Here is a 27,542-nt window from a genome sequence, read left to right as displayed (position 1 = left end):
AAAAAAAAGAAGGCTATGTGAAAACACGGGGACAAACAGACAGGGAGACAGACACACACACACAGAGAGAGAGAGAGAGAGAGAGAGCGCACAAGTGAGAGCAAGAATGTCATGTGAAGACAGAGATAGAAATGGGAGTGAATGCCAAGGATTGCTGGTAACCCATCAGAAGCCTGGAAAGAGGCTTGGAGCAGATCCTTCTCCCAGGAGCTTTCTGAGGGAGTATGGTGCTGCTAACACCAACATTTTGGACTTCTAGCCTACAGAACTATGAGAGCATAAATGTCTGTGGTTTGAAGCCACTCTGTGAGTGGTAATTTGTTACAGCAATTCTAAGAAACTAACACAATCCTGAAAACATTCCGCTAGGAGAAAGAAGCCATCAAAAAGGATCATATATTGTGTAATTCCATTTATATGAAATGTCCAGAATAGGCAAATCCATGGGGACAGAAAGTAGATTCGTGGTTGCCAAGGGCTGGGGAATGGTGAATTTAGGGAATAACTAGGGGGGTAATGAAAATGTCCTAAAATTGGTGATGGATACACAACTCTATGAATATACTAAAGCCAATGGATTATAACAATAAAAAAATCAATTAAAGAAGTGCTCAAGGGCCAGGCACGGTGGCTCACGTCCGTATTCCAACACTTTGGGAGGCTCAGGCGGGCAGATCCCTTGAGCCCAGGAGTTCAACACCAGCCTGGGCAACATGGTAAAACCCCATCTCTAGAAAACAAAAATACAAAAGTACCCGGGCATGGTGGTGCACACCTGTACTCCAGGTACTCAGGAGGCTGAGGTGGGAGGATCACCGGCGCCCAGGGAGGTCGAGGCTGCAGTGAGCCATGATTGTGTCACTGCACTCTAGCCTGGGCAACACGGCAAGACCCTGTCTCAAAAAAAAAAAAAAAAAAAAGACAGGGCATGTCAAAAGGACACAAGACCCAAGCTGAAAGAACTCCAAATAATTAAAGCTGGAACAAGTTGAACAATGAAATTAATAATGACAGTACTGTATTGAATTACGCCCCAAAGAATATGATTCCAAACTGAAAAAAATTAAATAGTTGAATAAATTAAGTGGCGGAAGAAGGGACTGCACTTTCTTAGAGAAAAGTTCCAATTAATAAATGTAGAATAAATGAGGGAAATACAAAATTCCCTAAAATATCACAGTAATAATTTTTACAGGTAAGATACACCAGTAGACACTAAAATCAGTGGATGAAAGTTTGAGGAAAAACAGGATTTTCCATCATCTCCAATATTTTTTTGGGGGGCTGCTGTGGGGCATGGAGTCTTGCTCTGTCACCCAGGCTGGAGTGCAGTGGCGCCATCTCAGCTCAATGCAAACCCCGCCTCCCGGGTTCAAACTATTCTCCTGTCTCAGCCTTCTGTGTAGCTGGGTCTACAGGCGTGTGCCACCATGCCTGGCTAATTTTTGTATTTTTAGTGGAGACGGGGTTTCACCATGCTGACCAGGCTGTTCCTGAACTCCTGACCTCGTGATCCGCCCGCCTCTGCCTCCCAAAGTGCTGGGATTACAGGCGTGAGCCACCTTGCCCAGCTAGTCTCCAAGATTTTTTGAGACAGGGTCTCCCTCTGTCCAAGGCCAATGATGTAATCATGGCTCACTGCAGCCTCCATTCCCCTCCAGGCTCAAGCGATCCTCCCACCTCAGCCTCCCAAGTAGCTGGGACCACAGGCATGCACCACCAACATAGCTTTTGTGTGTGTGTGTGTAGAGATGGCGTATCACTATGTTGCCTAGGCTGATCTCAAAATACTGGACTCAAGTGATCCTCCTGCCTCAGCTTTCCAAAGCACTGGGATTACAGGCGTCAGCCACCACATTCAGCCATGTTCATTAATCATAAAGGACAATATAGCAACATTCAGTGGAGAGACCCCCAACCACCACCTTAACATCAAAGTTCACATCACCAGAAACAGGACATGTCGGTATCCGGTAACCTCTGATACAATGCACCGAGAATAAGGTATTGCATGAGACATACTTATACTATAAAACTATTTGTTGTCTAAAATTTGAATTTAACTAGCATCCTGTATTTTTCTTTGCCTAATCTGTCAACCTTCAGAAGGGCAAATCACTTCTATGGTATTTTTTTTGCCAAAAACGCATAACTTCAATCCAACCATAAGAAAACCACAGACACGATCCTTTTGTAGTTCGTAAGCATGACGATCGGGTTTTCACATACATGTCTCAGAAGTGCCTCTCTCAAACCTTGTTACGTCAGCACATTACCTGTCTTACATGAAAAAAAAAAGAAAAAAAGCAAGAAACAGCAGATAAATACATTCCAAAAAATTACTAACCACGAAGCAAGAAAAGACTGAGAAACTATCACAATAGGAAAAAGAAACTGATAACAACATACACAGAAATGAATAAGTTAGAATCAAAAGGGGCTCCAGGAGAGATGAAATATCTAAACCAAAGGCTGGCAAAACTTTTTCTGTGGGGAGCTAGATACTGAATATTTAAGGCTTTGTGGGCCATTTGAGTAGCTGCAGCTACTCAACTCTCTGCCACTGTAGTGGGAACACAACCATAGAAGACATGTACATGAATGGGCATGACTGTATTCCGGTAAAACTTTATTTACAAAAACAGGAAGCAGGCCAGATCTGGCCAAAGGGCCATAGTTTGCTAACCCCTGATCTTAACAGACCATCTTCCATTGAAGAAGTTTTTCAAATAACTAATCCCCTACTGAAACACCAAGCCTTGTCAATTTAAAAGGATTATTATATCAAACTTTAAAAGATGATTCAAAAGAAATTTTTTTTTTTTGAAACAGGGTCTTGCTGTGTCACCCAGGCTGGAGTGCAGCAGCATGGTCACAGCTCACCACAGCCTCGACTTCCCAGGCTCAAGCAATCCTCCCACCACAGCCTCCTGAGTAGCTAGGACTACAGGTGTGCAGCACCACCCTGGCTTTTTTTTTTTTTTCTATGTTGCCCTGTCTGGACTCAAACTCCTGGGCTCAAGCAATCCTCCTGCCTCAGCCTCCCAAAGTGCTGAGATTACAGATGTGAGCCACCGTGTCTGGCTCTCAAATTTTTTTACTTTTCATCCCCATTTCACACTCCCATCCAAATCATTCTGATGTGCTTAGAGTGTATCTTTTTGTTTGTATGTGTTCTTGCAAAAAGTGATTGTTGTGTATGTTGTATTTATATACTGTATATGTTGTTTAATTCACAAATAGTAATATATCTCATCTTATGGGCGGATCATGAGGTCAGGAGTTCAAGACCAGCCTGGTCAACATAGTAAAAGTCCGTCTCCACTAAAAATACAAAAAAATAAGCTGGGCATGGTGGCAGGCACCTGTAGTCCCAGCTACTGGGGAGGCTGAGGCAGGAGAATTTCTTGAGCCCAGGAGTCGGAGGCTGGAGTGAGCCGAGATCGTGCCACTGCACTCCAGCCTTGGCGACACAGCAAGACTCTGTCTCAAAAAAAAAAAAAAAAAAAGTTTTTCACTCAGTATTCTGCCTAGGTGTTTAATCTGCTGATTTCGAGTCTTGCATAGTATTAATATTTCATGTGTGCAACTACCACATTTTACCTATCCACTCTTCTCAGTGATGGATTTGCGAATGTCCTCCAACTCATTGCCACTTCAAATAATGCCTTAATAAACAATTCCTTACATGTTCTCTCATAACCTATGCAAACATTGCTGAGTCATAGGAACCTGTAATGGTTCCAATATCCTCAAAGTCCTGCCAAAATCTGGCATCATCTGGCTTCCTAAATTTTGCCAACTTAATAAGTATAAAGTTTTTATTACTTTTTTAACTATTCATAAACCTTGAAAAAGAAAACTACCACCTTTCTTTCCTATTAAAGGAGTATAAAGTAATAACAAAACCTAAGGAATATATTGTGAAAGCAAAAACCACAGAAAAATTCAAATATGGATGCAAAATTCTAAAATATAACTGGACTCCAACACATTAAAAGAATAGTATATCAGAATCATAAATATATATTATAGGATTTATTCCAGGAATGCAAGAATAGTTCAATATTAGCCCCAAAATAGATAGATGGATGGATGAATGAATGAAATCATCTCCAAAGACTCTGAAATACCCATTCTGGATAAGAATATGCTATAAAGTAGGAATAGTTGGATATTTCCTTAGTATTGCAAAAATATATCTATCTCAGCTCAAAAGCTATAAAAAAGCCAGGTGTGGTGGCTCACGCCTGTAATCTCAGCATTTTGGGAGGCCGAGATGGGTGGATCACCTGAGGTCAGGGGTTCGAGACGAGCCTGGCCAGCATGGTGAAACCCAATCTCTACTAAAAATACAAAAATTAGCCAGGCATGGTGGCAGGCGCCTGTAATCCCAGCTCTTCGGGAGGCTGAGGCAGGAGAATCGCTTAAAGATTGAGGCGAAGGTTGCAGTGAGCCGAGATCATGCCACTGCACTCCAGCCTGGGCAACAGAGCAAGACACTGTCTCAAAAAAAAAAAAAAATTAAGATAGGTACATGTATTAGCAGCTACTAAATTAGTAGTGCAGGTCTAGAGAATCAACCAAAAAAATAGATGCAAAATTAATTCACAGAAATCTATAGCTTTAATACACACAAAATAATCAGAAGATATAAAGGAACGAAAAAACCTATTTACAAGAGTAACAAAAAACTTAAAATACTTAGAAATAAATCTGACAAGAAATGTGAGAGACATATGAAGAAAACTTTAAAAACATAAAAAGAAAGCTTGAACCTAGTACATTTTTGGTTAGAAAGTTCTATAGCATAAGACGTGGTTTCTCCCTAAGTCAATCCACATGATCCTATTAAAAATAGTAACAAGTTCTTGCAATTGAACTAGACAAGGTGATCCTAAATTTCATATAAAAAATAAACAACAGGACGGGTGCGGTGGCTCACGCCTGTAATCCCAGCACTTTGGGAGGCTGAGGTAGGCAGATCACTCGAGGTTAGGAGTTTGAGAAAAGCCTGGCCAACATGGTGAAACCCCATCTCTACTAAAAACACAAAAATTAGCCAGGCGTGGGGGCAGGCGCCTGTAATCCCAGCTACTCAGCAGGCTGAGACAAGAGAATCGCTTGAACCCAGGAGGTGGAGGTTGCAGTAAGCTGAGATCACGCCCCTGCACTCCAGCCCGAGTGAGAGAGTGAGACTCCATCTCAAAAAATAAAAAATAAACAAACAAACAACAGGCTGGGTGCAGTAGCTCATGCCTGTAATCCCAGCACTTTGTTCAGCTGAGGTGGGCAAATCACCTGAGGTCAAGAGTTTGAGACCAGCCTAGCCAACACTGAAAACCCCATCTCTATTAAAAATACAAGAAAAATTAGCCAGGCATGGAGGGTGATGCATGCCTGTAGTCCCAGGTACTCGGAGTGCTGAGCCAGGAAGAATCGCTTGAACCTGGGAGGCGGAGGTTGCAGTGAGTCAAGATGGCGCCACAGCACTCCAGTCTGAGTGACAGAGCAAGACTCCATCTCAAAAAAATAAACAAACAACAGATCAGTAACACAGAGGCACAACAAGATGGCAGAATAGGACCCGTCAGTGATAGTTCCCCACAGAAACATCAATTTGAACAACAATCCACAAAAGAAAATATCTTCGCTAGAGCTAGGAAAACCAGTTGATAGATAAAAGTACTAGATTTTACAAGGAGAAGAAGATGCATTAAAGATAATAGGAAGGACAGTCTCATATTATCTGTACCAACCCTTCCCCAACCCTAGGTAGTGATGAGAGACACCGCCCACATGGCAGAAGGAGAGGTTAGTGGACATGGGACTTTGCCTTAGAGCCCAGTACTAAGTCTGCCACAGTAATACACAGAACCAGAAAAAACCCCACAGCCTAATTCCAGGCCTGTGCCCACGGACAAAGATTGTGGACCCACACTAAGCACCAGAAAGGAATTCCCCACCCCATCAGGATGAATGGGATTCTCACATCACTGGGCCCCAAATAAATTTCAGCATGGTAGCAGCCTGGGCCTTGGGCATGACCCATTTCCACCCTGGTCCAAGAGGCCATAGGCTTCAGGTGTAGCCCTGCATAGCATCAGCTGTGGCAGCCACAGGACTGCCCACATCACCTTTCCCTCCAACTGTAGGCAACATGGTACAGAGAAAGACACCATCTACTTTAGGGAAGGAGACCGAATTATGCATGAAACTTTTCCTTGGAACCCAGTACCAAGCCCACAACAACAAAACCAGCACCTGGTTCAGGGCCCTGGCCAGCATTACCACACGAGGTGGGGAACTCTCCCTGGGTCTTACTCAGGTCCATCGGGGCCAGGGACATTGGAGTCTGTAACAGAGTCCCAGCTACATAGGCTTACAGTGCCCTCTAGCGCTAAGATGGCTACAGTGACCACAGGCTTAGGGAACTCAACAGTCAGGCTCCTTTGAATTCCTGGAAGGCTCTCTGAAAGACAGGTACAAACAAGGCCAGATTGCAAAAATTGGAATATATATCAATTTCTTCAATGCCCAGATATTGACACACATTGGAAAGCATCAAGAACATTAAGGGAACTATGACCTCACCAAACCAACTAAATAAGGTGCCAGTGATCCATCCTGAAGAGATTGAGAAGTATAATCTAAGACAGGGAATTCAAAATAGTTGTTTTGAGGTAGCCCAATAAACTTCAAGAAAACACAGAGAAATAATTCAGAAATCTATGAGAGAAACTTTACAAAGAGATTAAAATAATCTTGGCCAGGCGTGGTAGCTCATGCCTGTAATCCCAGCACTTTGGGAGGCCGAGGCAGGCAGATCACCTGAGGTCAGGAGTTCGAGACCAGCCTGACCAACATGGTAAAACCCCATCTCTACTAAAAATACAAAAAAAATTAGCCGGGCGCTGTGTCAGGTGCCTGTAATCCCAGCTACTCGGGAGGCTGAGGCAGGAGAATCGCTTGAACCCGGGAGGCGGAGGTTGCCGTGAGCCAAGATCACGCCACTGCACTCCAGCCTGGGCAACAAGAGTGAAACTCCATCTCAAAATAAATAAATAAGTAAATAATAATAATAATCTTTTAAAAATCAAACAGAAATCCTGGAGGTGAAATACACTGAACAAACAAAAATGCATTAAAATGCTGTCTTGACAGCAGAAATTATAAAGCAGAAGAATAAATCTGTGAGCTCAAAGACAGGATATTTGAAAATACAGAGGAGGAAAGAAAAAAAGAATGAAAAAGAACAAAAGAAAGCTTAAAGAATCTGTGTGATAGTGTCAAAAGAACAAATGTGGCCAGGCGCGGTGGCCCACGCCTGTAATCCTAGTATTTTGGGAGGCCGAGGTGGGTGGATCATGAGGTCAGGAGTTCAAGACCAGCGTGACCAACATGGTGAAACCCTGTCTCTACTAAAAATACAAAAAAAAAAAAAAAATCAGCCAGGCATGGTGGCTGGCGCCTATAATCTCAGCTACTTGGGAGGCTGAGGCAGGAGAATTGCTTGAACCCTGGAGGCGGAGGCTGCAGTGGGCAGGGATTGTGCCACTGCACTCCAGCCTGGGTGAACAGTGCAAGACTCCATCTAAAAAAAAAAAAAACAAACAAAACAAAAAAAACAAATGTACGAGTCACTGGCATTCAAGAGGGAGTGCAGAATGAGAACGGAGGGGAGTAGAAAGTTTATTCAAAGCAATAATAACAGGGAACTTTCCAAACCTAGAGAAAGATATAAATATTGAGGTATGGAAAGGTAAAAAGTTCCCAATTAAATTTAATGAAATAAGACTACTCCACGGCATATAATAATCAAATTCTCAAAGGTCAAGGACAAAGAAAAGGTCATTAAACCAGCAAGAGAAGAGAAGCAAATAGGCTAGGTGTGGTGGCTTATGCTTGTAATCCCAACACTTTAGGAGACTATGGTAGGAGGATTGCTTGAGGCCAGAAGTTCAAGACCAGCCTGGGCAACATAGTGAGACTCCCATTTCTACAAAACACTTAAATTAAACTGTAATTTTTAAAAAAGAAAACAAGCAAATAACAAGTAAAGGAGCTCCAATAGGTCTGGCAGCAGACTTCTCGGCAAAAACCTTACAGGCTAGGAGGGAGTGGGATGACAGTCAAAGTGCTGAAGGAAAAAAACATCAACCAAGAATACTTCATCCAGTAAAACTATCCTTCAGACATGAAGAAGAGAGGAAAGACTTTCCCAGACAAATGAAAATTGGGGAAATTCATCAACACCAGACCTGTCTTATATAACAACTGCTAAAGGCACTTCTTCAATCTGAAAGAAAAGGATGCTAATGTGTAACAAGCAAACATCTGAAGGTATAAAACTCACTGGTAAAACTAAGTACACAGACAAATTTAGAAAACTCTAATATTATAACTGTGATAGATAGACAACTCCTATCTTTGCTATGAAGAATAAAAGACAAAACTATTAAAAATAATAACAACAGGCCGGGCGCGGTGGCTCATGCCTGTAATCCCAATACTTTGGGAGGCCGAGGTGGGCAGATCATGAGGTCAGGAGTTGGAGACCAGCCTGGCCAACATAGCGAAACCCCGTCTCTACTAAAAATACAAAAATTAGCCAGGCATGGTGGTGCGCGCCTGTAATCCCAGCTGCTCAGGAGGCTGAGGCAGGAGAATCATTTGAACCCGGGAGGCAGAGGTTGCAGTGAACTGAGATTGTGCCACTGCACTCCAGCTTGGGCGACAGAGCAAGACTCTGACTAAAAAAACAAACAAACAAAAAATTTTAATCGTCTTTGTTCTATAACTGGGAAGATAAACTAGTAACTGACATTATCAGTGTGGAGTCTGCTGAAAGGGCTGGTTTCTGTTTAGCCCTTAGGGAAGAATGCCTAATATCTGTTAGCGAGGAAGGGGATATAAGCAGGTGTGTCCAACCTCCCATCAGGTCATGGTCATGCATTCAGCTTTTTTTTTTTTTTTTTTTTTTTTGAGTCAGAGTCTCACACTGTCACCTGCACTGGAGTGCAATGATGATCTCGGGTCACTGCAACCTCCACCCTCCCGGGTTCAAGCAATTCTCCTGCCTCAGCCTCCCAGGAAGCTAGGATTACAGGTGCATGCTGCCACGCCTGGCTAATTTTTTGTATTTTTAGTAGAGATGGGGTTTCACTATGTTGGCCAGGCTGGTCTCGAACTCCTGACTTTGTGATCAGCCTGCCTCAGCCTCCCAAAGTGCTGGGATTACAGGCGTGAGCCACCGTGCCTGGCCAGGGCATTTATTTCAACATCTTCTGTTGGTCATGCACTCAACTTTTAAGGTTTCTCTGGGGTCTCCCTGGCTGAGAGGAGGTCTGTTCAGTCAGTTGGAGGCTTAGAATTTTACTTTTATTTATCAATCAACATACAAAAATCAGTAGTGTTTCTATAGACCAAAAGCAAACTATCTGAAAAGGAAAGCAAGAACACAATCCCATTTACAATAGCTACAAAAAAATAAAGTCCCTAGGAATAAATTTAACCAAAGAGGTGAAAGATCTCTACAACGAAAACCGTAAAACACGGATGAAAGAAATTAAAGATGACATGAATCAGTGGAAATATATCCCATGTTCATGGATTGGAAGAATATTGTTAAAATGTCCATATCACCCAAAGCAATCTACAGATTCAATGCAAGCTCTATCAAAATACGAATAACATTCTTCATAGAAAAAATAATCCTAAAATTCATATGGACCCACAAAAGACCCCAAACAGCCAAAGAAATTCTGAGCAAAACAAAGCTGGAGGCATCACAGTACCTGACTTCAAAAAATACTACCAAGCTATAGTAATCAAAACAGCATGGTACTGGCATAAAAACTGACACACAGACTAAAGGAACAGAACAAAGAACACAGAAATCCACACATTCATAGCCAACTGATTTTTGACAAACACACTAAGAACACACAAGGGAGAAAGCACAATCTCTGTGATAAATGATGCTGAGAAAACTGGATATCCACATACAGAAGCAAGAAACTAGACCCCTATCTCTTACCATATACAAAAAGGATCAAAAACTTAAATCTTACACCAGAAAATATGAAACTACAAGAAGACAACATAGGAGAAATGCTTTATGACATTGGACTGGGAAAGGAATTTTTGGACAAGACCTCAAGAGCACAAGTAACAAAAGCAAAAATAGACAAATGAGGTTACATCGAACTAAAAAGATTCTGCACAGCTAAGGAAAAAAGAGTGAAGAGACACCCCACAGAATGGGAGAATGGATTTGCAAACTATGCATATGACAAAGGTTAATATCCAGAATACATAAGGAATTCAAATAATAGCAAAAAATCCCAAAGAATTCAACTTTAAAATGGGCAAAAACCTGATTTCACATTTCTCAAAAAAAGACATTCAAATGGCCAACAGGTATATGAAAAAAATGCTCAACATCACTAGTTTTTAGGGAAATCCAAATCAAAACTACAATGAAATATCACTTCGCTCCATCTAAATGACTATAATAAAAAGACAAAAAACAACAAATGCTGGTAAGGATGTCGACAAAGGGGAACTCTTATACACTGCTGGTAGAAATGTAAATTAATACCGCCATTATGGCAAACAGTATGAAGGTTTCTCAAAAAACTAAAGCAGAACTACCATATGATCCAGCAATTCCACCACTAGGTATATAGCCAGTGAAAATGAAATCAGTATGTCAAAGAGATATCTACACTCCCATATTTATTGCAGCACTACTCACAATAACCAAGAGATGAAATCAACCTAAATGTTTACAGATGAATGGGCAAAGAAAATGTGGCATATATACACAATGGAATACTATTCAGCCATAAAACAGAATAAAATTCTGTCATTTGTGGCAACATGGGTGAACCCAGGGACATTATACTAAGTGGAAGACACCAGGCATAGACAGCCAACCACCACGTGATCTTACTCATATGCGGAATCTAAAAAAGTTGATCTCACACGCCTGTAACCCCAACGCTTTGAGAGGCCGAGGCAGGTGGATCACCTGAGGTCGGGAGTTTGAGACCAGCCTAGCTAACATGGTGAAAACCCGTCTCTCCTAAAAATACAAAAATTAGTTGGGTGTGGTGGTGGGCGCTTGTAATTCTAGCTACTTGGGAAGCTGAGGCATGAGAATCGCTTGAACCCGGGAGACGGAGGTTGCAGTGAGCCAAGTTTGCACCATTGCACTCCAGCTTGGGCAACAGAGTGAGATTCTGCCTCAAAAATAAATAAATAATGAAAATAAAAAAGTTAGCCAGGCACGGTGGCTCACGTCTGTAATCCCAGCATTTTGGGAGGCCAAGGCGGGCAGATCACGAGGTCAGGAAATCGAGACCATCCTGGCTAACATGGTGAAACCCCATCTCTACTAAAAACACAAAAAATTAGCTGGGCGTGGTGGCGGGCACCTGTAGTCCCAGCTACTCAGGAGGCTGAGGCAGGAGAATGGCGTGAACCCGGGAGGCGGAGCTTGCAGTGAGCCGAGATTGAGCCACTGCACTCCAGCCTGGCGACAGAGCAAGACTCCATCTCAAAAAAAAAAAAAAAAAAAAGAAAAGAAAAAAGTTGATCTCATAGAAGAAGAAAGCAGAATAGTGGTTACCAGAGGCTGGGGAGGGGATCAGGAAGAGGGAATGGGGAGTGGATGGTCAACAGGTACAAAGTTAGAAAGGAAGAATAAGTTCTGGTGTTCTATTACACAATAGGGTGACTATAGCTAATAACAATATAATGTATATTTCAAGTTGGCTAGAAAGGGTTTTATGTTATCACCACAAAGAAATGATAAATGTTTAAAGTGATGGATGTGCTAATTGCCTGATTTGATCATTATGCAATGCATATGTGGATTGAAACATCACAGTGTACCTCATAAATATTTACATTATGTGTCAATTATAATAAAATAAGACAATTTTTTTTAATAAACAAGAAAGAATACTCTGGTAAACTCAGAAAGAGAAGAGCAATGAGGGTAGTGGTGGACTAACACTACCGCAGGGTAGAATCTATTCTAAGCCTTGGTATAAGGAAAGGGGACCCCTTAAACTGGTGAGGCAAAGATAAACTGTCTAACAAGCATTACAGGGACAACTAGATAGCCATCTGGAAAGAACACAATCGGATCCATACCTCATATGAAAATGACTCCAAAAGGAACAAAGATTTAAATATGAAAAATAAAACCACAGAAGTTCTAGAAGAAACCATGGAAGAAATTCTTTATAATTGTGGATTGAAGAATGTGTTTCTAGTTATTATTTATAACCTAGATACCATAAAAGGAAAACGGACAAATATATCTGCTTGCATGGCCTCAAACAAAATAAGCAAAGTCAAAAGAGAAGGAAGCACTGGGAAAAAAATATTTCTAGTTCGTATCAGTCAAACGGCTATTCTTACTAAAATATAAAGAACTCTCCAAATTGGTAAGAGAAAAAGAGAAAAGAGCAAAGGATATGAACAGATGGCTCATGAAAAACAAAATACAAATATTCAAGCATATGAGAAAAATGAGATACAATTTTCAACACAAAATCTAAACATTTGATAACATGTTGGTGAGAGTGTGGGAAAAGGTAAACTCTCAGCTATTATTGGTGGGAGTATAAATTAGCTCATCTGTGAGAGAAAATAGTACCTATCAAAAATTTAAATGTATATACTCTTTGTACAAGTGCCCTTCTGGGAATTTATCCCACAAATATATTTGCCTATGTACAAAATGATACATGAATAAAGTTATTCACTGTAGTATTGCTGATAACAGCAAAAGTCTGAAAGCAACCCAAGTTAGAATACTGGGTAAATGACGGTGCAACTCTACAATGGAATGCTATGCAGCAATGAACAAAATGAGAAAGTTCTCTGCATATTCAAATAGAGTTACAAATTATACTGAGTGAAAAAAATATATAAGGTATAGGACAGTGGCATAATATGCTTTATTTTGTATGCATAAAGACCCCTAGGAGGATACCTTCCAAGAAACAACACTGCTTTCCTTGGGTCGGGTGAGGGAGAGGAACTAGGTACACTGAGGGCGGGGATGGGTATTTCCCTGTATCCCTTTTACAGGTTGAGTACCCCTTCTCCAAAATGTGTGGGACCAGAAGTGTTTTGGATTGTGAATTTTTTCGGATTTTGGAGAATTTGCATATGCATAAGGAGATATGATGGGATAGGATCCATGTCAAAATACAAAATTTATGTTGGATATATACCTTATACACACGGCCTGAAGGTAATTTCATATAGTGTTTTAAATAATTTTGTGCATGAAACCAAGTTTTGACTGTGTTTCAACTCAATGTGTCACATGAGGTCAGGTGTAGAATTTTCCACTTCCGGTGTCACAGTGCTCAAAACGTTTTAGACTTTGGAGTATTTTGAATTTCTGATATTTGGATTAGGGATGCTCAACCTGTATGTGTATATATTTGTGCCCTTTCTACTATATGAATATATTATCTATATAAAACATCAAACTTAAAAACATGCAATAAAAGAGAAAAAAAGAAACACTATTCAGCTGTTAAAAAGAAGGCCAGGCATGGTAGCTAACACCTGTAATCCCAGCGTTTTAGGAGGCTGAGGTGGGAAGATAGCTTGAGCCCAGGAGTTTGAGACTAACCTGGGCAACATGGCAAAATCCTGGCTCTTAAAATAACTAATTAAAAGAAGTCAGCACTAGATTTACTGATATGCAATGATATCCCAAAGATATTTTTAAAAGAAAAAGCAAAGTGAGAAAGTGAGTACAGTATACTCCCATTCATCTGCTTTACAAAAAGATGTATATACATCATCCCTGGAAATATACAACAAACTGGGGTAAATGACTGCTTCTGGGGAAAGCAAATAGGAGACTCAAACATGTGCCTGACATTGTATGTCTTTTGCTACTGTTTAAACATTATTTTGTTAAATGACGTTGTATTTGTAAAATGAATTTCAAATATTCATCCCCAGCCAGATCTTACTTATGAGCTCTATATTTCCAACTGCTCTATCTGGATTTCTCACAGGCACCTTCAACTCAGTAAGTACAAACCTGAACTCATCATCTCCCACACAAAACCTGGTTCTCCCTCCAGTGTTCCTTGTCATTGTTCACATGACCGCCTTTCAGCTGCTCAAGTCAAGTGTGTGCTCTTCTCAACTCCCCGCTCTTCCTTCCTCTAACACCCAACCAGTCACCAAGTCCTGCAGATCTCTCTCTCCATTACATCCTCCTCTGTTCGTCTTCACTAGCAGTGCCCTGAAGCAAGCAATCATCTCTCTCAGCTCTGCCGTGGTCATCTAGGAGGTCTCCCACAGCTGCTCCTGCCTCCTTTTCTTACTATCCAGTCATTCTACTCCCCTACTTAAAAGTTTTCTATTACTTTCAGCAGCCTTTTCACTTTTGGGAAGTAACACAATGAGATGGATTAGAAAGGGGCCAGAACTCTCATTATAGTCCACATGATTTTCTAGTCCCTTCTCATGTCATTTTCCCATCTCGCTCTTTACATTCCAACCACACTAACCTTCATTGAGTTCCTCAAACTCTTCTTCCTCAAGGCCTCACTTGCTAGGCCCACATCTCTCCCAATAACAGCACCAATAAGCTTTTACTGCATTAACTACCTCTTATCCTTTTAGTCTCAGTTTAAACACATTCTGTTCGGAGTATCTCTATGACCTTCTAGACTAAGTCAGACCCCTGGTTTTATGCTGGTTTAGCAACCCGCCTTCAAACAATTTACTGCAACAATAACTAAACAATAAAATCAGTTGTTTAATATTTATCCCTCAAACAGTCTAAGGACAAGAACAGTTTTGCTCACCGCTGTATCCTAAAATAATACCCACAGAATAAACATTTGTTGAATGAATGAACAGAAGGAGCAGGGGGCAGAACTAAATGGAAAACCAAAGGCCTGCACATAAGAAGGGCTCATGTCAGCAGTGGCCTCCAGGAGGCACGGCGTCTTGCCCAAACTCCAGGAGGCACAGCGTCCTGCTCAAACTCTTGCCTTGGCAGTCCAGGCCCCTGGCTCATTCCCAACATCTGCCTACTCACCATATTCTCTGGGAACTGGAGCTGGCCTGACAAGGCTGGGCTGCTATTATAGCCAGAGGTCATGCCAGACGAGAGGCTTCCATTAGAGCTGGTGCACAGGGAGCTGGAATTGGCCAAGGTATGTAGTTTATCCTCTTCCTGGGAAGGACAAATCACCATTAACCAGCTTCTGATGCACCCTCACTTTCCCCAGGCCACGCCTTTTCCTACCCAAAGCCACCCCTTCCCTGCTCACCTCTACTGCTCCTTCACCCACCTCCCAGGGCCTCCCTGACTTAGCCTCACATGCCCTGGCTTCCTTAAAGCCACCACTGCTCGTATTTCCCCACACCCTGCACCTCACACCAAAGCCTCTTCCTCCCAGGCCGTGGCCTGGGGAAAGGAGCTGGTGTGATGATGTAAAAAGACAGTGAGCCCAGCTTTGAGTTGACAACAGGGGTCCCACAGCCTCCTCCAAATGTTACGTATGTCCCAAGACTCAGAGGCGGCCACGGTGAAGGTGTACCAGTCTGAGGTCCAGGCCTATCCTGAAATCAGAGGCATGCCCCACTCCACACCTTCAATAGCTGGGAAATGATCTTCTGGTGGATTCTCAGCTTCTCTTGTTCAGTCCGCTCCCGCAGTTGGTCTCGGGCCCGGGCAATCTCCACCTTGGCCTCCTCATGGGCCTGCTGGTAGTCTTGCAGCATCAACTCTATGTCAGAGGGTGTGTGAGCTGACCTTGACACTGACTCTGGGCTCCTGAGGAAGATCACGGGGTGGAAAGAACATGGTGGGTGGGTGACAGTCCTGGTCTGTCCATCCAAGGCTAGCTTGGGTGATACCACCTTCTTAAAAGACCCAACCTCCATTTGCCCACAGGGTTTTAAAGTATGATTTTTTAGCCTCAGGAGAGGTTGCTGGACAGAGAGAACCAAGCCACCTTGAGACCCAGGCCTGCAGACTTGCATAGCATGTCAGAGCCCTTCTGTCCATCATTTCCTGTGCCTTCTCTCTGCCCACCCCCTCCCTCATTCCATTCCCTTCTATGTCCTCTTTCCATTTACCCTGTCTCCTATAGAGAACCCTCCAGGATGCTAAAACTTCAGCTCCTGCTCCCCATACTCCCCTCCCCCAACAGAGCCTGCTCCCAGCAGGGTTCTCGGTCCACACTACCTGGTGGTCTCCACAACATCCTTCCTCAGTTGCTGCAGGTATTCTCGGCGTCTGCTGGGCAAGTCAAGATCCCAGATGAAGAGATCTTTGTTGGGCAGGAGGCTCAGTTGTTTCTGAGGGCTAAGGCTTCGCGTCCGGCAGAAGTTCCCAAGTCGCTCAGCCCGCTCTCTCCTGAGGGTCTCAATGGCCTTTTTTTGCCTGAGGCAAAACACGATTCGCTGAAGCTGGCCCTGAATGTCCTTCACTTTAAGATCTATCTCTGACCCCTGGAAGATCCCAGAGATGAACCAGGGCAGAGGAAACAGCAAGCTATTAGCTTTCTTGGGTTCTCTTTCCTCACAGCCCACCCCTTCCCCTCCCGACTCCAGGCTGGGGGTCCTTACCGTGCATAGAGCTCCTTCCAGGTGGATGTCACAGGTTCATCAGCAGCAAGCGCCTCCCCTGTCCCACTCTGCAGCACCTGGAGCAGGGCATCGGCCTCCCCAAAGCCATGGTGCAGTTTCGCTTCTGTGAGTTCCACGCTGAGTGAGAGGTTCTGGGCCCCAACTTGCAGGGGGATCTGCTCCCTCTTGGACCACTCAGAATCCTGGCTGTGGTCATTAGGAGGTTGTGGGGGACTCTGTTCCTGCTTTTCAGAGCTGAGATCACCGCTGGCCCCCAGCTCCTCCTCAGTCATGTCCAACCCCCCAGGTGAGCCCTTCTGAACCCCACACCAGTTACTAAATTTGTTATGCACCGGGAGGTCCCTCAGACTGTGGTGCTGGTGCTCAGGGGCCATGCACATCTGGCAACTGAAGCACAGTAACTCCTCAGGTTGGCAGGCCTGAGGGAGGCCCAAGGCAGAACCTCGGAGCCCTGCAGTATCAGTCAACTCAGAGACAGGGCAGGGGCTGAGGTGCTGGAGGCCTCCCCATGAAGAAGGTCGGTCCAGAGTGCGTTGTGGTTCCCCTGGAGATGCTGAACTCTCACCTCCATTTTCTGTCCTGCTCTGCCACTGACTTGGCTCCCTACCGCTCAGTGGGCAATGCTCCGGGGAAGCCACCTTCTCAGGCACAAAGCTGTTGCCCAGCCTTTGGCTCCTGTGCCTCAGTGGTGGTGGCAGCAGTCTGCTTTGGACCCCGATAGTTGTCCTGGGCTGAAGCTGCTGAGGGTGCTGCCCTAAGAAACTAAATTGGAGTTTTGGACTCTGCTGTGGGCTGTGTGGGGAGTGCAACTCAAGGAAGGATCTCCCATTACTCCTTTGTAAGGAACTTCTACCTCTCTGGGAGCCACCTAACTCGTCAGTGGTTTGGGAATAATTATCCATTGGAGTCCTTGGGGCATCAACAGGGTCTGGGCTGGAGTCAAGCTTCTGGTGGCCTTCAACAGGGTGAGTTGAAGGGGCTGAGAGGGTCAAAGAGCCTGGGGAAAGACCCGGCTCTTGGGTGCTGGCACTAAGAGTGAGGATTGGGGAGGAGGCCCTGTCCACGAACAAAGCACTTGTGGGGCCCAGCTTCTTCTGGACCCTGGAGTCCCCAGGATACTCGGAAGTACTGGGAAAGAGCCCTGGGGAATGAGGGGAGCTGGGACTGGGACTGCTGACAACTAAGCAATATGACTCCTCTGGCTGGGAGCTGGGAGGCAGGAAAGCATCAGAAACTGAGGGGCTCACAGAAGGAAGATGCTGCCCAACGGGGGCTTTCTGAAACCTCAAGTGGGATGAGGGTATTGAAGGGCTCTGGGGCTTGTAGGGAGTGCTTTCTTCCTGAAGATAGAGGAGCTGAGCCATTTTCTGTGCTGTTTCCTCTGCCTCTCTCTTCTGAGGTACCCCTGGCACATCTCCCTCTTCTTGAGACACAGTCGAGGTATCTGAGCCTAGCCCTTCAAGGATCACATTGGCTCCCTGAGGTTCAGCCTCTGAAGTCTGGAGGCACAGGGTGGGTAAGGTGAGGTCAGTCTGGCTGCCCTCATCCACAGTGGTCTGAGTAGAGCCATCCATCATCAGGGCCTGTGGGGCTTTATCTGGGATGTCCCTCTTGGTGTTCTGCTCCCTTCTGGCCACATCTGGCTGGGAGAGACTCCCAAGCAGCTCTGAGGTACTGTGCAGGAGCTGTGAGAGGTGGAGAGACAGATTGTGCATGCTGGTCCATGAGGCCAGATCAAAGGCTGATACTGCACTGGCTTCAGGCTGAGCAAAGGAGATGTCAGTGCTGCTCCAGTGGCGCCTGCTGCCGAGGGTCTGTGTGCCCTGTTCGAATGTGTTCGTCCTGGTCTGTCCCACAGGGCAGCCTGCCTCTGATGGATACAGCAGCATAATCTCATCCACTGGACCTGCAGCACTTCCTTTGGCCAAGGGGGGCTTACTCCTCAGACAGTCTGCTTCACCAGAAGGGCCCCTGAACTGAGGCCTTCTGTCATGACCCGAAGTGGGGGCTACTCCTTCAGGGCTCGTCGGGATGTGGGGGTCTCCTAAGGCAATTGAAGAACTCCCTCGGAATACTTCCCAGGCCTCATTTGAACCCTGGGCATTCTCAGTGCTGCTGTGTGTGGTTGACAGATCACAAATATTGGCGTAAGTGCTGAGGTGGGAGTGGAAAGGGGAGTTCTGGTCTTCTAGGCCATTGTCCATGCTGGAGCACCGGGCCACATTTGATAGTGTCAGCCCCTGGGGCTTCTGGCTGCAGGAAACATCGACTGCACTGCCAGACATATACTGCTTCCAGCTGATACGTGCAGGCTCCTCCGGACGCCACGGCAGCGCATAGGGACTGATGTCACTGGAGCCAAAGTGCAGCATTCCTTTGTCCATCTGAGAGCACCAATTTTCTGGCCTAACCTGGACACCCAGTTTCTCTCGCTTTCCCTGTTGGGCTTGTTCCAAAGTACCAGACATCCAGCTGGTCGTGAAATCAGGGGTTGGCATGTGTGAGAGAGTGGAAGGCATTGGATAAGGAGGGGTGGCAGGCTTCAGGTGCCTGTGATCGGTAGTCCCATCATCCAAGCGAGATGAGGCTTTCTGATTGCTGTCCTCAGCCTGCAGAGATGTTCTTGCCACTGACTTTCCTGAGGAATAGCCCCTGAGATGTGGGTTCCACAATCTGTTAGGCCCCTGTGTATCTTCGTCTGTAGGGGAAGGAGGCTCCACACTCAAGTTCAGCTCCTGAAGAGAACGAGAAGAGCCGACAACTGAGAACTGTGGTGTGGGGGAGGACCTGGAGTGTTTGGGGCCAGAGAAGATTGTAGTCACAGGAAGTGAGCCCCTGTGGTTGGGTGCTGGCTGCTCTCTGCCAGTGTAGAGGTGGCCACTCCTCTGAGCAGCAGGCTGCGGTGTTTCATTTTGCCTCAAGGACACAGTGGCTGGGTCTTTGAAGCCCTGTGATAAAATCTTGGACACAGGAGGCTTGGCCACAGCCACCTCCTCTCTCCCAGCATCTAAAATCTGACAGCCATCTAAGCCATCTTCATCAGGAAGGGGATTCACACCCTGGGCGAAGCCTTCTCCACCACCTGAAGCCTGGTCTCTGTGCTGCTCTTCTTCCTGCCAGGGACTGTCTTCCTGGGGGCTGCAGGTATGTTTTAACCTTGCTACAAACTTGGCTTGGGAATCCAAGCGATTGTGATCCCTCAACTCAGTGGAAAATTGTGGCTTTTCCAAAAAACATCTAGTGGTATTTTCTAAACATTCATGCTGTGGCTCTACCACCAACTTGCTCTCAGCAGACCCTTCACTTAAATCCAGGGTGTGTGGTCCCTGAGTTGTTGCAGGTGGTTCTGGATTGGTTTGACACACCTGTGCATTCTGGTCACCTACAGAGCTGTCCCTAAACTGCCTCAGGGGCTCAGAGTACATGCCTGCAGGGAAAGAGGCAGCCTCAAGTTCTGTGCTTGCTTGCTTCTCAGCAACCTTTTTCTCAGGAACCCCTATTAACCCCACGCTTCCATCAGTAGCTGAGTGGCTGAAGGAACCTGTCCTCACGTCAGGAGCAGAAGGGGATCTGCAGCCTTGAGCTCGAGATAGGACAGCAGCCACAGTAGAAGGCTCACAAGTGCTGCTCTCTGTTAGCCTAAATTCCCTGTTAACATCTTTGGGCTCAAGGCCATGTGTCAAGTGCACATCAGGTCCCCTAGAGATCTCTCCTGTCTCATCCATTTCATAGGCCCTGGAAGGTACTACACAGGGTGGGTGGATAGTATGTGGGGCAGCCTTGAAAGGCTCCTTCCCTAGGTCACCATCTCTAAAACACAGTAAAGTAGAGGAATGGGAGGAATAAGCATGAGTAGCAACAGGTTGAGAACTGCATGGCTGTCGGCAAGGAAGAGTTCTGCTCTCTTTCCCTCTAGACGGGCTGAGAGTCCTGCTGCCTTCAGGGTTCCTTGAGAAGACAGGGCCATCTAAAGCTTCCCTTGGGTGTCTACATGGGGCTTCCTCCCCAATTCCCCCAGGATTTGCGCTTGGTCTTTGATCTGGCAGTGGAATTGGCCTGGAATGTTTGCTGCCAGCCCTGCAGACTTCTGTCAACCCAGACCCAACACTCTCCTTACACTGCACACACTGCTGTGTGGGAGCTTCCAGTGCAACCCTTGTCAGAGCTCCAGGCAGAATGGTATCTTGTTTGGGACTTGCCCTACCTTCTTCAAAGCCAGTAGAAGCCTCAGGGCATTGGACATGGTCTTGCTTAGGCCCTGAGGCACTTGTAGAATTCTGAACATCACAGGTCACAGACTGACTTTCAAAATGGGCTGTTTTTTCTCCCTGTGCAGTCACTAACAAATTATCTGAAACTTCTCCATATGTGGTGTCTAGAGTTCTGGGTTCCTGATGCTCTGGGCTGCTGTCCTGACTGCCAGGGGGTATGCCCTCTGCAGTCTCCTGCGGAACTGACTGACTTAGCTCATGCAGAGTCACTCTAGGATCATCATAAGGGGCCTGAGAAGGTAAGGCAGCCACTACCTTCTTTGATACTACCCTCCTGACCTCCTCCACAGGTGCTGAAGAACGAGGACTGTCTGGGGCCAAAGGATCAGCTGAGGAAGGTGTTCTGGTTGCATCTTTCTTTTTCTCTATGATTTCAGAAGAACTAGAGTGACATATAAATGGTTCACTTGCTCCCGCGAACTGCCTCAGTTCTCCAGTACGACGTTTCCTGTCTTGAGCAGGAGCAGCATGGGAGAAAGCCTGCACAGGATCCCATGGCTCTCTGTCAGTTTCCGTATTGGGCAGAGATTCAAAGCTGTCTGCAGACAGAGATGTGGCCTGGACTTTCCTCTCATCAGGTAACAGATCTATCTGCCCTGCTTCAGCAGATAGAGATGCCACATGAAATCCCGGTGCTTCACCCTCATTCCTGGTCTGGTCTGATGATGACTGGTCTATTTGTTTACACTGAGGCCTGCCAGCAACCCTTGAAGAACATTCGGGTTCTAGTAAAGTTTCACAGTAAGAAAGGACTGTGCCCCTGGCCACAAAGTCATGAAGCTGCTTTCTCTGGGCCTTTGCCTGTCTGATCTCCTCCAAGATGGCCAGGCACATGGATGCATGGTCAGAGGGCTCCAACAGCCTAGGCTCTGGACTGGGCACCCTCGGCAGGGAAACAGGTGCTAAGGAAACACCGCTGGTCAGTCCGACGTCCTCAGTCTCCTTCTCTGCCTTCTGCCTTGGCTTGCTGGCTTGGTCACTATCCTCTTCCAAGGAGAAGCTGACCCTCTTTTCAGGCTGGCTAGAGACCTTGTTCAGTGAACTGACTCTTATTTCTTTTTGTACAGCCACCTCGGCTTCAGAAGCAAAATCTTCACTGGTACTGAAACCCAGCAAGGTGATTCTGAGGTCCTTTCCATGGTCTTGGGGGCTGGTGCTTGCTGAGATCCTGTCCTCTGTCCCCAGAGGAATGCTCTCTGGTACACCAGATTGACTATGAGATCCCATGGCCATGGATCGCACAGACCCACACCAGGCAGTGTGTGCCTCAGAGGAACGCCCTCTAACATTTCCTTCGGGGCTGTGGCTTCTGGTCTCCGTACTCTGGTCCTGATGCTCTACTCCAGTTACCAAGGGACTGTTATGAATTTTCAACATTGTGAGATCCAGCACACAGTCAAGTGAAGAGATGCCTAGAGCAACAGGTACATGAAGACACCTTCTTGGCCACCTTGGAGAATTCAAGGGCAAGGTATTACTCAGGTCTTGGTGAAGAGGAGCTGTACAGAATTCTGTCCGGCTTAGTAATGGGCTGACAGTTTCCTGCCTGAAAAACGTGTCCCTACAAAGCTGGCTGAGACTAGGAAATTTCTGAGTCACTTTATTTTCTTCCTGAAGGCTGCCTCCCCTTTGCATAGGCATTTCTTCAACTTTACCTTGAGCTTTTGGCTCTTCTTGGTTGGAACTACTTACGTGTTCAGCTACTTGGCTTTCCTGAAAACCTTTCACAGTCTCCAATTCCTCAAGACTTCCTAAGCCCCAAGGCTGCCCTTTGAGACTTGCTGATGCTTTTACAAACTGGCCATTATTCTTAGAAGACCTCTCTAGCCTGGGTTGCAATGGCAGAGCTCTAGCCAATGCTTTCATTCTCTGTGGGTGAAGAGAAGTGTTGGTGAACTCTCTGCAAGTTGTGTGTTTCCCTAAAGAATCACAAATATCCCTGGCAGGTCTGTCCGATCCAGCTGGGTGGGTGTGCTCTCTCACAGGTTCACTCTCTCGTACACCTTCCCTTGACCTGAAGGGGTTTGGGGTGATTTTCTGGACCTGGGGATGGTTCCCAATGCTGTTAACCTCCATCGCTCCAGCTTCACTATCCCTAAAGACAGTATCATCTGTCTGTCTTGGAGAAGATGGCTGATCCTTAGAGGGCAAAGGGTTTCCAGAGCTGTCTGGCCTAAAGGCATGGTCAGTCTTCTCCTGCTCCTTCTGGTCCTGGAACACCAACTCCTTATCGGTTCCTGGTGTGTGGGAAGCATGAACCTGCTTATTCTGCTTAGATTCAATTTCTAAGATGCCATTTTCCAGCTGCATTACACTCCTAATTAGCCTAGCCATTTCATCAGTATTATTAACTCTTTTATTCTGTTTCTTTCCAGAAGGTTCTCTGTTGGGATTTAACATTTCTTGTGACTTGCATTCACTGGGGTTTCTTTCCTGAGGGCATGCAACTAACTGGAACCTTTCATATGCAGGCTTTGTACCTGGAAGCTTAAACTCTTCTGAGCTATCTTTGGGACGAAGACCTTTTTCAAGAAGCCCAGTTTCATTTTTCCCTTCCCACTTAGGGGTTGGGCCACCACCCTGGGCCACCATCACTGGGCTGCTTACTCTACGATCTACTGATCTGGATTTCAAAGAAACAGCACTTTCCCCTGGCATGTCTTTCTCAAGGCTTACATTGATGGTCTGCCTCAGAACCGTATTCTGATCCAGCTCTTCTTCCTCTCGTGCCTCAGATTCACGAAAGAGGAGAGACTTCCCAGACTCAGTGCTGTCTGAGGAAGCACCGCAACAGGACTGAGCAGTGACCTCTCCTCCCTCAAGTGCTGGAAAACTGTGTTTTTTATTTAAAATTACAACTTGGTTTTCAAATTCACATACTTTTGTGCTGGTAGAGGGGAGAAAATGTCTGTTCTGAGTAACAGAAGAATAAACTGAATCATGGCTTTCTTCTGTAATATTTCCAGGGCATTTACCTGATTCTCTGATGACTTCCCTGGTATTCAGATCAACTGGTATCTCAGCTGTGACCTGCTGAGATGAGGCAATCTTAGAATTCTGGTTTTGTAACAGCACTGGCAAATTATTCTTCAAATAAGCACCTTGGAGAGCTTGGTGGTTGTGACCAAAGCCCCAGGCTTCCCTGGGGGGTGGGGAGGGTACCCTTACTTCTCTGCAAGCTGGAATCTCTAAGGCAGTTTCTGTCAGGGCATCCCTGCTTTTGGTCACATAGAATGTTTCCAAGAGTGGGGGCTGCAGGGAAGATGACAATGGATTCCAGGGAGCAGAGTGAAGGTATAGCTCTGGACCTGAAGGAAGGGCAAAGGAAACATTTATGTGTCTTCTAACTGCTTCCTTAGAGCTCTCCTGGCAATCTGTCTTCTCTTCCTCTAGTGGGTAGTGGCTGTCGGGACTTAATTGCCCTGGCTGGACTGCACTATTTTTCCTGAGAGGAGCCCAGCCTTGGGACCAATGGTCTGCTTTGGTGGCTGTAGTGACATTACTGTGACAAGCGTTCTTCTGGAAAAAATCCTCATCAGAGGAAGTCATCAGTCCAGGTTTCCTGCAACTCTGAAGGCATTCTTCCAAGTTGTTCTGCTTGACTTCACATGCTTCTGTCATGGAATCTGGTATCGCGTTCTCTGTTGCAAAGACCTGTGCATTTGTAGATCGAGAAGCAGACAATGATTCTAAGTCTGCCGAATAAGTTTCGTCATAACTCGCCTCTTTCTCACTAGTGCTAAAGAAATCTGAAACACCTTCTAATTTGGCATTTAAACTGTCCTGTTCTTTCTCTGCCCTCAAACGCCTGATTCTGGACAGATGGACTGGAAAGTTGTTGAGATTCAGATTGCTAGATACCCTAGGGCCAACTGGCAATAGAGTATCTCCTCCTTTGCTAGAAGCTTGGGCCAGGGAACCAGAGTCTTCCTCAAGGTAGGGGTAAGCTGGCTTGGGTGCTCCTATGGCCTCCAAAACAGGACAAGAGAGTTCAAGGAGGTACTTCTGCTGAAGGGCAGACCAATCCCTTTCATGGGTGCTGCCTACATGAGTCAAGGTGGTGGCAGAGGCAGCCAGCACGTTTGATACGCTAGAATTGTGGGATGCTTCAGAGCTGCCCTGCTGGGTCATGTCAGGGATACATCTGCCCTGAAAGGTGCCATCAGCTCCTGGTTGAATAAGCCTTTGAATTCCCCAGAGAGACAGCCTAGACGTATCAGCAGCAGAGGCTGTGTGCTCATCTCTTGCACTGCAGAGGAGCTCAGTACTGCCTTGGTGCAGTTTGGAGCTATATGGCAGAACCGTTTCTGCATCTGATGGCTTTAGTTCCTCAGTATTTGGCCAGTATCCAGGCCTCTCCCCCTTACAGGAGTGAAATTCCTGCATATCAGGACTTGGACATAAAGAACCCACTATTCCTGGGGGGCTGCTGGGGTTGATCTTAGAGTCACAGGAAAACCAGGAATCCATGGACATCAGTGGGCTCTCTCTTGAAAGCTGCATGCCTTGGAGAGAGTCGGCTTGTTCAGAGTAGCTTGGCTCTACCTGTGATTCAGCCTGCTCACAATGGGGCTGGAGCTCACAATGGGGTTGGAGCTCACAATGGGGTTGGAGCTCACAATGGGGTTGGAACTGAGGATCAAGGTAAAACGAACTGCTCATTGGCAGGACGGCATCCAGCCTAGCTGCTGTTCTGTAGTTGATGGGACCAAGCCTGCATATTGCCTCTTGGTCCATTACAGGCAGACTAGAGTCCTCCAGGTGCCAAAAAGTCTCTGTGGGTATCTCGTCAGCTGAACCAGGGAAAGGTTCTTCTTGCTGATCTTCCCCCAGTTCTTCCTCTGCATCAATCAGGCTATCCAAGGAGAAGCTCCTATGAGTTTGAGCAAGTAGGTCACTGTCTGAGGCTGCAGTGAAGCCCCTCACAGAAGCTCTAGTTCTGGTCCTGGGTTGGCCACGGTTGTTGGTGGGACGATTGCCCCCTAGCCTGTTTTTGGGGCTTTGGTACCTCTTCTCAGCCAGTGAGTCCTCAGATAGTTGGCTGTCATCACTTTCAGAGTTCTCTGGCTCTGGGAAATCCCATTTCCTCTCCTCTGGCTTCAGTGGCTCTATCAGGGCTTTGGCATAGACACATGAGAGAGAATCCAATGAGTAGTTGCTATCTGTGTCAGATAAATCATTGTCTTTTTCTCTTGAATGATCCATTACTGGGCTGAAATCTGTGAGTGGGACCATGGTGTCTGGGTCCCTTGTATTTTGTTGTCTCTTCAAAGGACTGCCAAGAGGCAAGTGAGAGGACTTTTTGGTAATATTTCTGACCCTAGTTGCCAGAACCCTCTGATGCCTTTTTGATGCCCTGCTTGGAGAAGGTGGTTTGTATTCTGTCCAAAAAGTCTTGACTGCCTTTCCGTGCCCAGCAGTCTGCCTGGGTCCATGAGGATACAAGGAATTGCAACTGGCTCCCTTAGCAGCCTTGTGGGTCCCAAGGTTCCCTTCTTTTCGCCACCCAGCTTGTGTGTGGCTAGGGTCTGCTAGTCCCTTCGCCCCTCTGGTCTGGGTAGTAGAGGTGAAGATCTTTGGCTCATGCCTTGGCTTTAGTTTGTTAGCTGATTTCCTCAGAGATGCTAAGCCCTGGCTCACCATCTGATGGGGCTGCTTAACCCCCATCTCCATTTCCTGGATGCCAACAGAGTTGGGACTCATGGTGAGGCAAGCGTCTGGAGCTGAGGCTCCCTTCCTGGCCAAGGCTGCTCTGGCTGTGCAGGGCTGCCCATGACCTGAGGAATGCAGGCCGTTCTTGCGGAGGCACCCTGTCCTTGCAGGGTAGGAAGCAGCCTGTGGCAAATGCTCTTCTGATGATGTTTTCTCTGATGTTTGGTGTGTAGGGTCAGGCCTAGGTGGCAATGTGGTAGAGGGATCCCAACTTAGGAAAATGCTGTGAAGACAAGGAAAGCTATCTCAGAAGATGTGAGAGGTACTACTTCCTGTGGACAGAAGGAGGTTAAAAACAAGGCCAGTGTCACTGTCTCCTATAGACTTCAGACCCAGAGAAAAGCTCTCCAGGTATAAAAGGAAATTGTGGACTCTAGTCCTAGTTCTCCAAGAGGCTCCAGGCCCACTCTGTTCCTCAATTTCTTCATCTTGTTAAAAAACTGAACTGAAGCTAATCACACTTGTAGGGAAAGCTTCCTATTAATAGGCAATATGAGGAATAGAGGAACAATTTAAATGGTATTATGAGGAACCAAAAGATAAATCTATAGAGTGATACATATTCTACAGAACTATAATTATCAATAAAAAGAAATAAAAATAATGATTACAAATAAAACAAGAAGAATGATTAAAAGAAACCTGAGAAACAACAAACAAATGCAGTGTGTAAATCCTACTTGGATCTTGATTTGAAAAACCAACGGTTTCAATGCTGAACCATGTTAGAGAAAAAAGAGAGAGAAAAAAGAAAACTGTAAATAGTTTTGGGCAGCAGAGAAATTTGAATATGGCCTAGGTTTTAGAATACATCAAATAATCTTAATTTTGGTAGCTGTCACAATAACATTGTGGTTACAAGAAAAGTCCATTTTTTTTTAGAAGTATATACTTAGAAATGTA

General features: G+C 45.7%; 1 protein-coding gene and 1 non-coding gene across 18 annotated transcripts in view; one reads left to right on the top strand and one right to left on the bottom strand.

Moving 5' to 3' along the window:
* STARD9 (StAR related lipid transfer domain containing 9) overlaps positions 1-27,542 on the bottom strand; it is a 145,393-nt gene that overhangs the window by 10,021 nt on the left and 107,830 nt on the right. For 15 of the 17 annotated variants that reach the window (XM_011521831.4, NM_020759.3, XM_011521834.4 and 12 more), the window contains 4 exons: positions 16,636-26,862; positions 16,253-16,450; positions 15,655-15,838; positions 15,098-15,235 (listed from right to left, as the gene is read on the bottom strand). In XM_011521831.4, coding sequence (XP_011520133.1) covers positions 15,098-15,235; positions 15,655-15,838; positions 16,253-16,450; positions 16,636-26,862 — 10,747 coding nt within the window. Of the gene's footprint in view, positions 1-15,097; positions 15,236-15,654; positions 15,839-16,252; positions 16,519-16,635; positions 26,863-27,542 lie in introns of those variants that run through there. The other 2 variants (XM_047432903.1, XM_024450002.2) reach the window with 2 other exon arrangements.
* Positions 2,186-2,286, top strand: LOC124903605 (small nucleolar RNA U13). The gene has a single exon (XR_007064831.1). It is a non-coding gene; the product is annotated as a small nucleolar RNA U13 (small nucleolar RNA).

Source organism: Homo sapiens, chromosome 15 (genome assembly GCF_000001405.40).
Source record: "Homo sapiens chromosome 15, GRCh38.p14 Primary Assembly".
NCBI lineage: Eukaryota > Metazoa > Chordata > Mammalia > Primates > Hominidae > Homo > Homo sapiens.
This window is presented reverse-complemented; position numbering and strand designations above follow the sequence as displayed.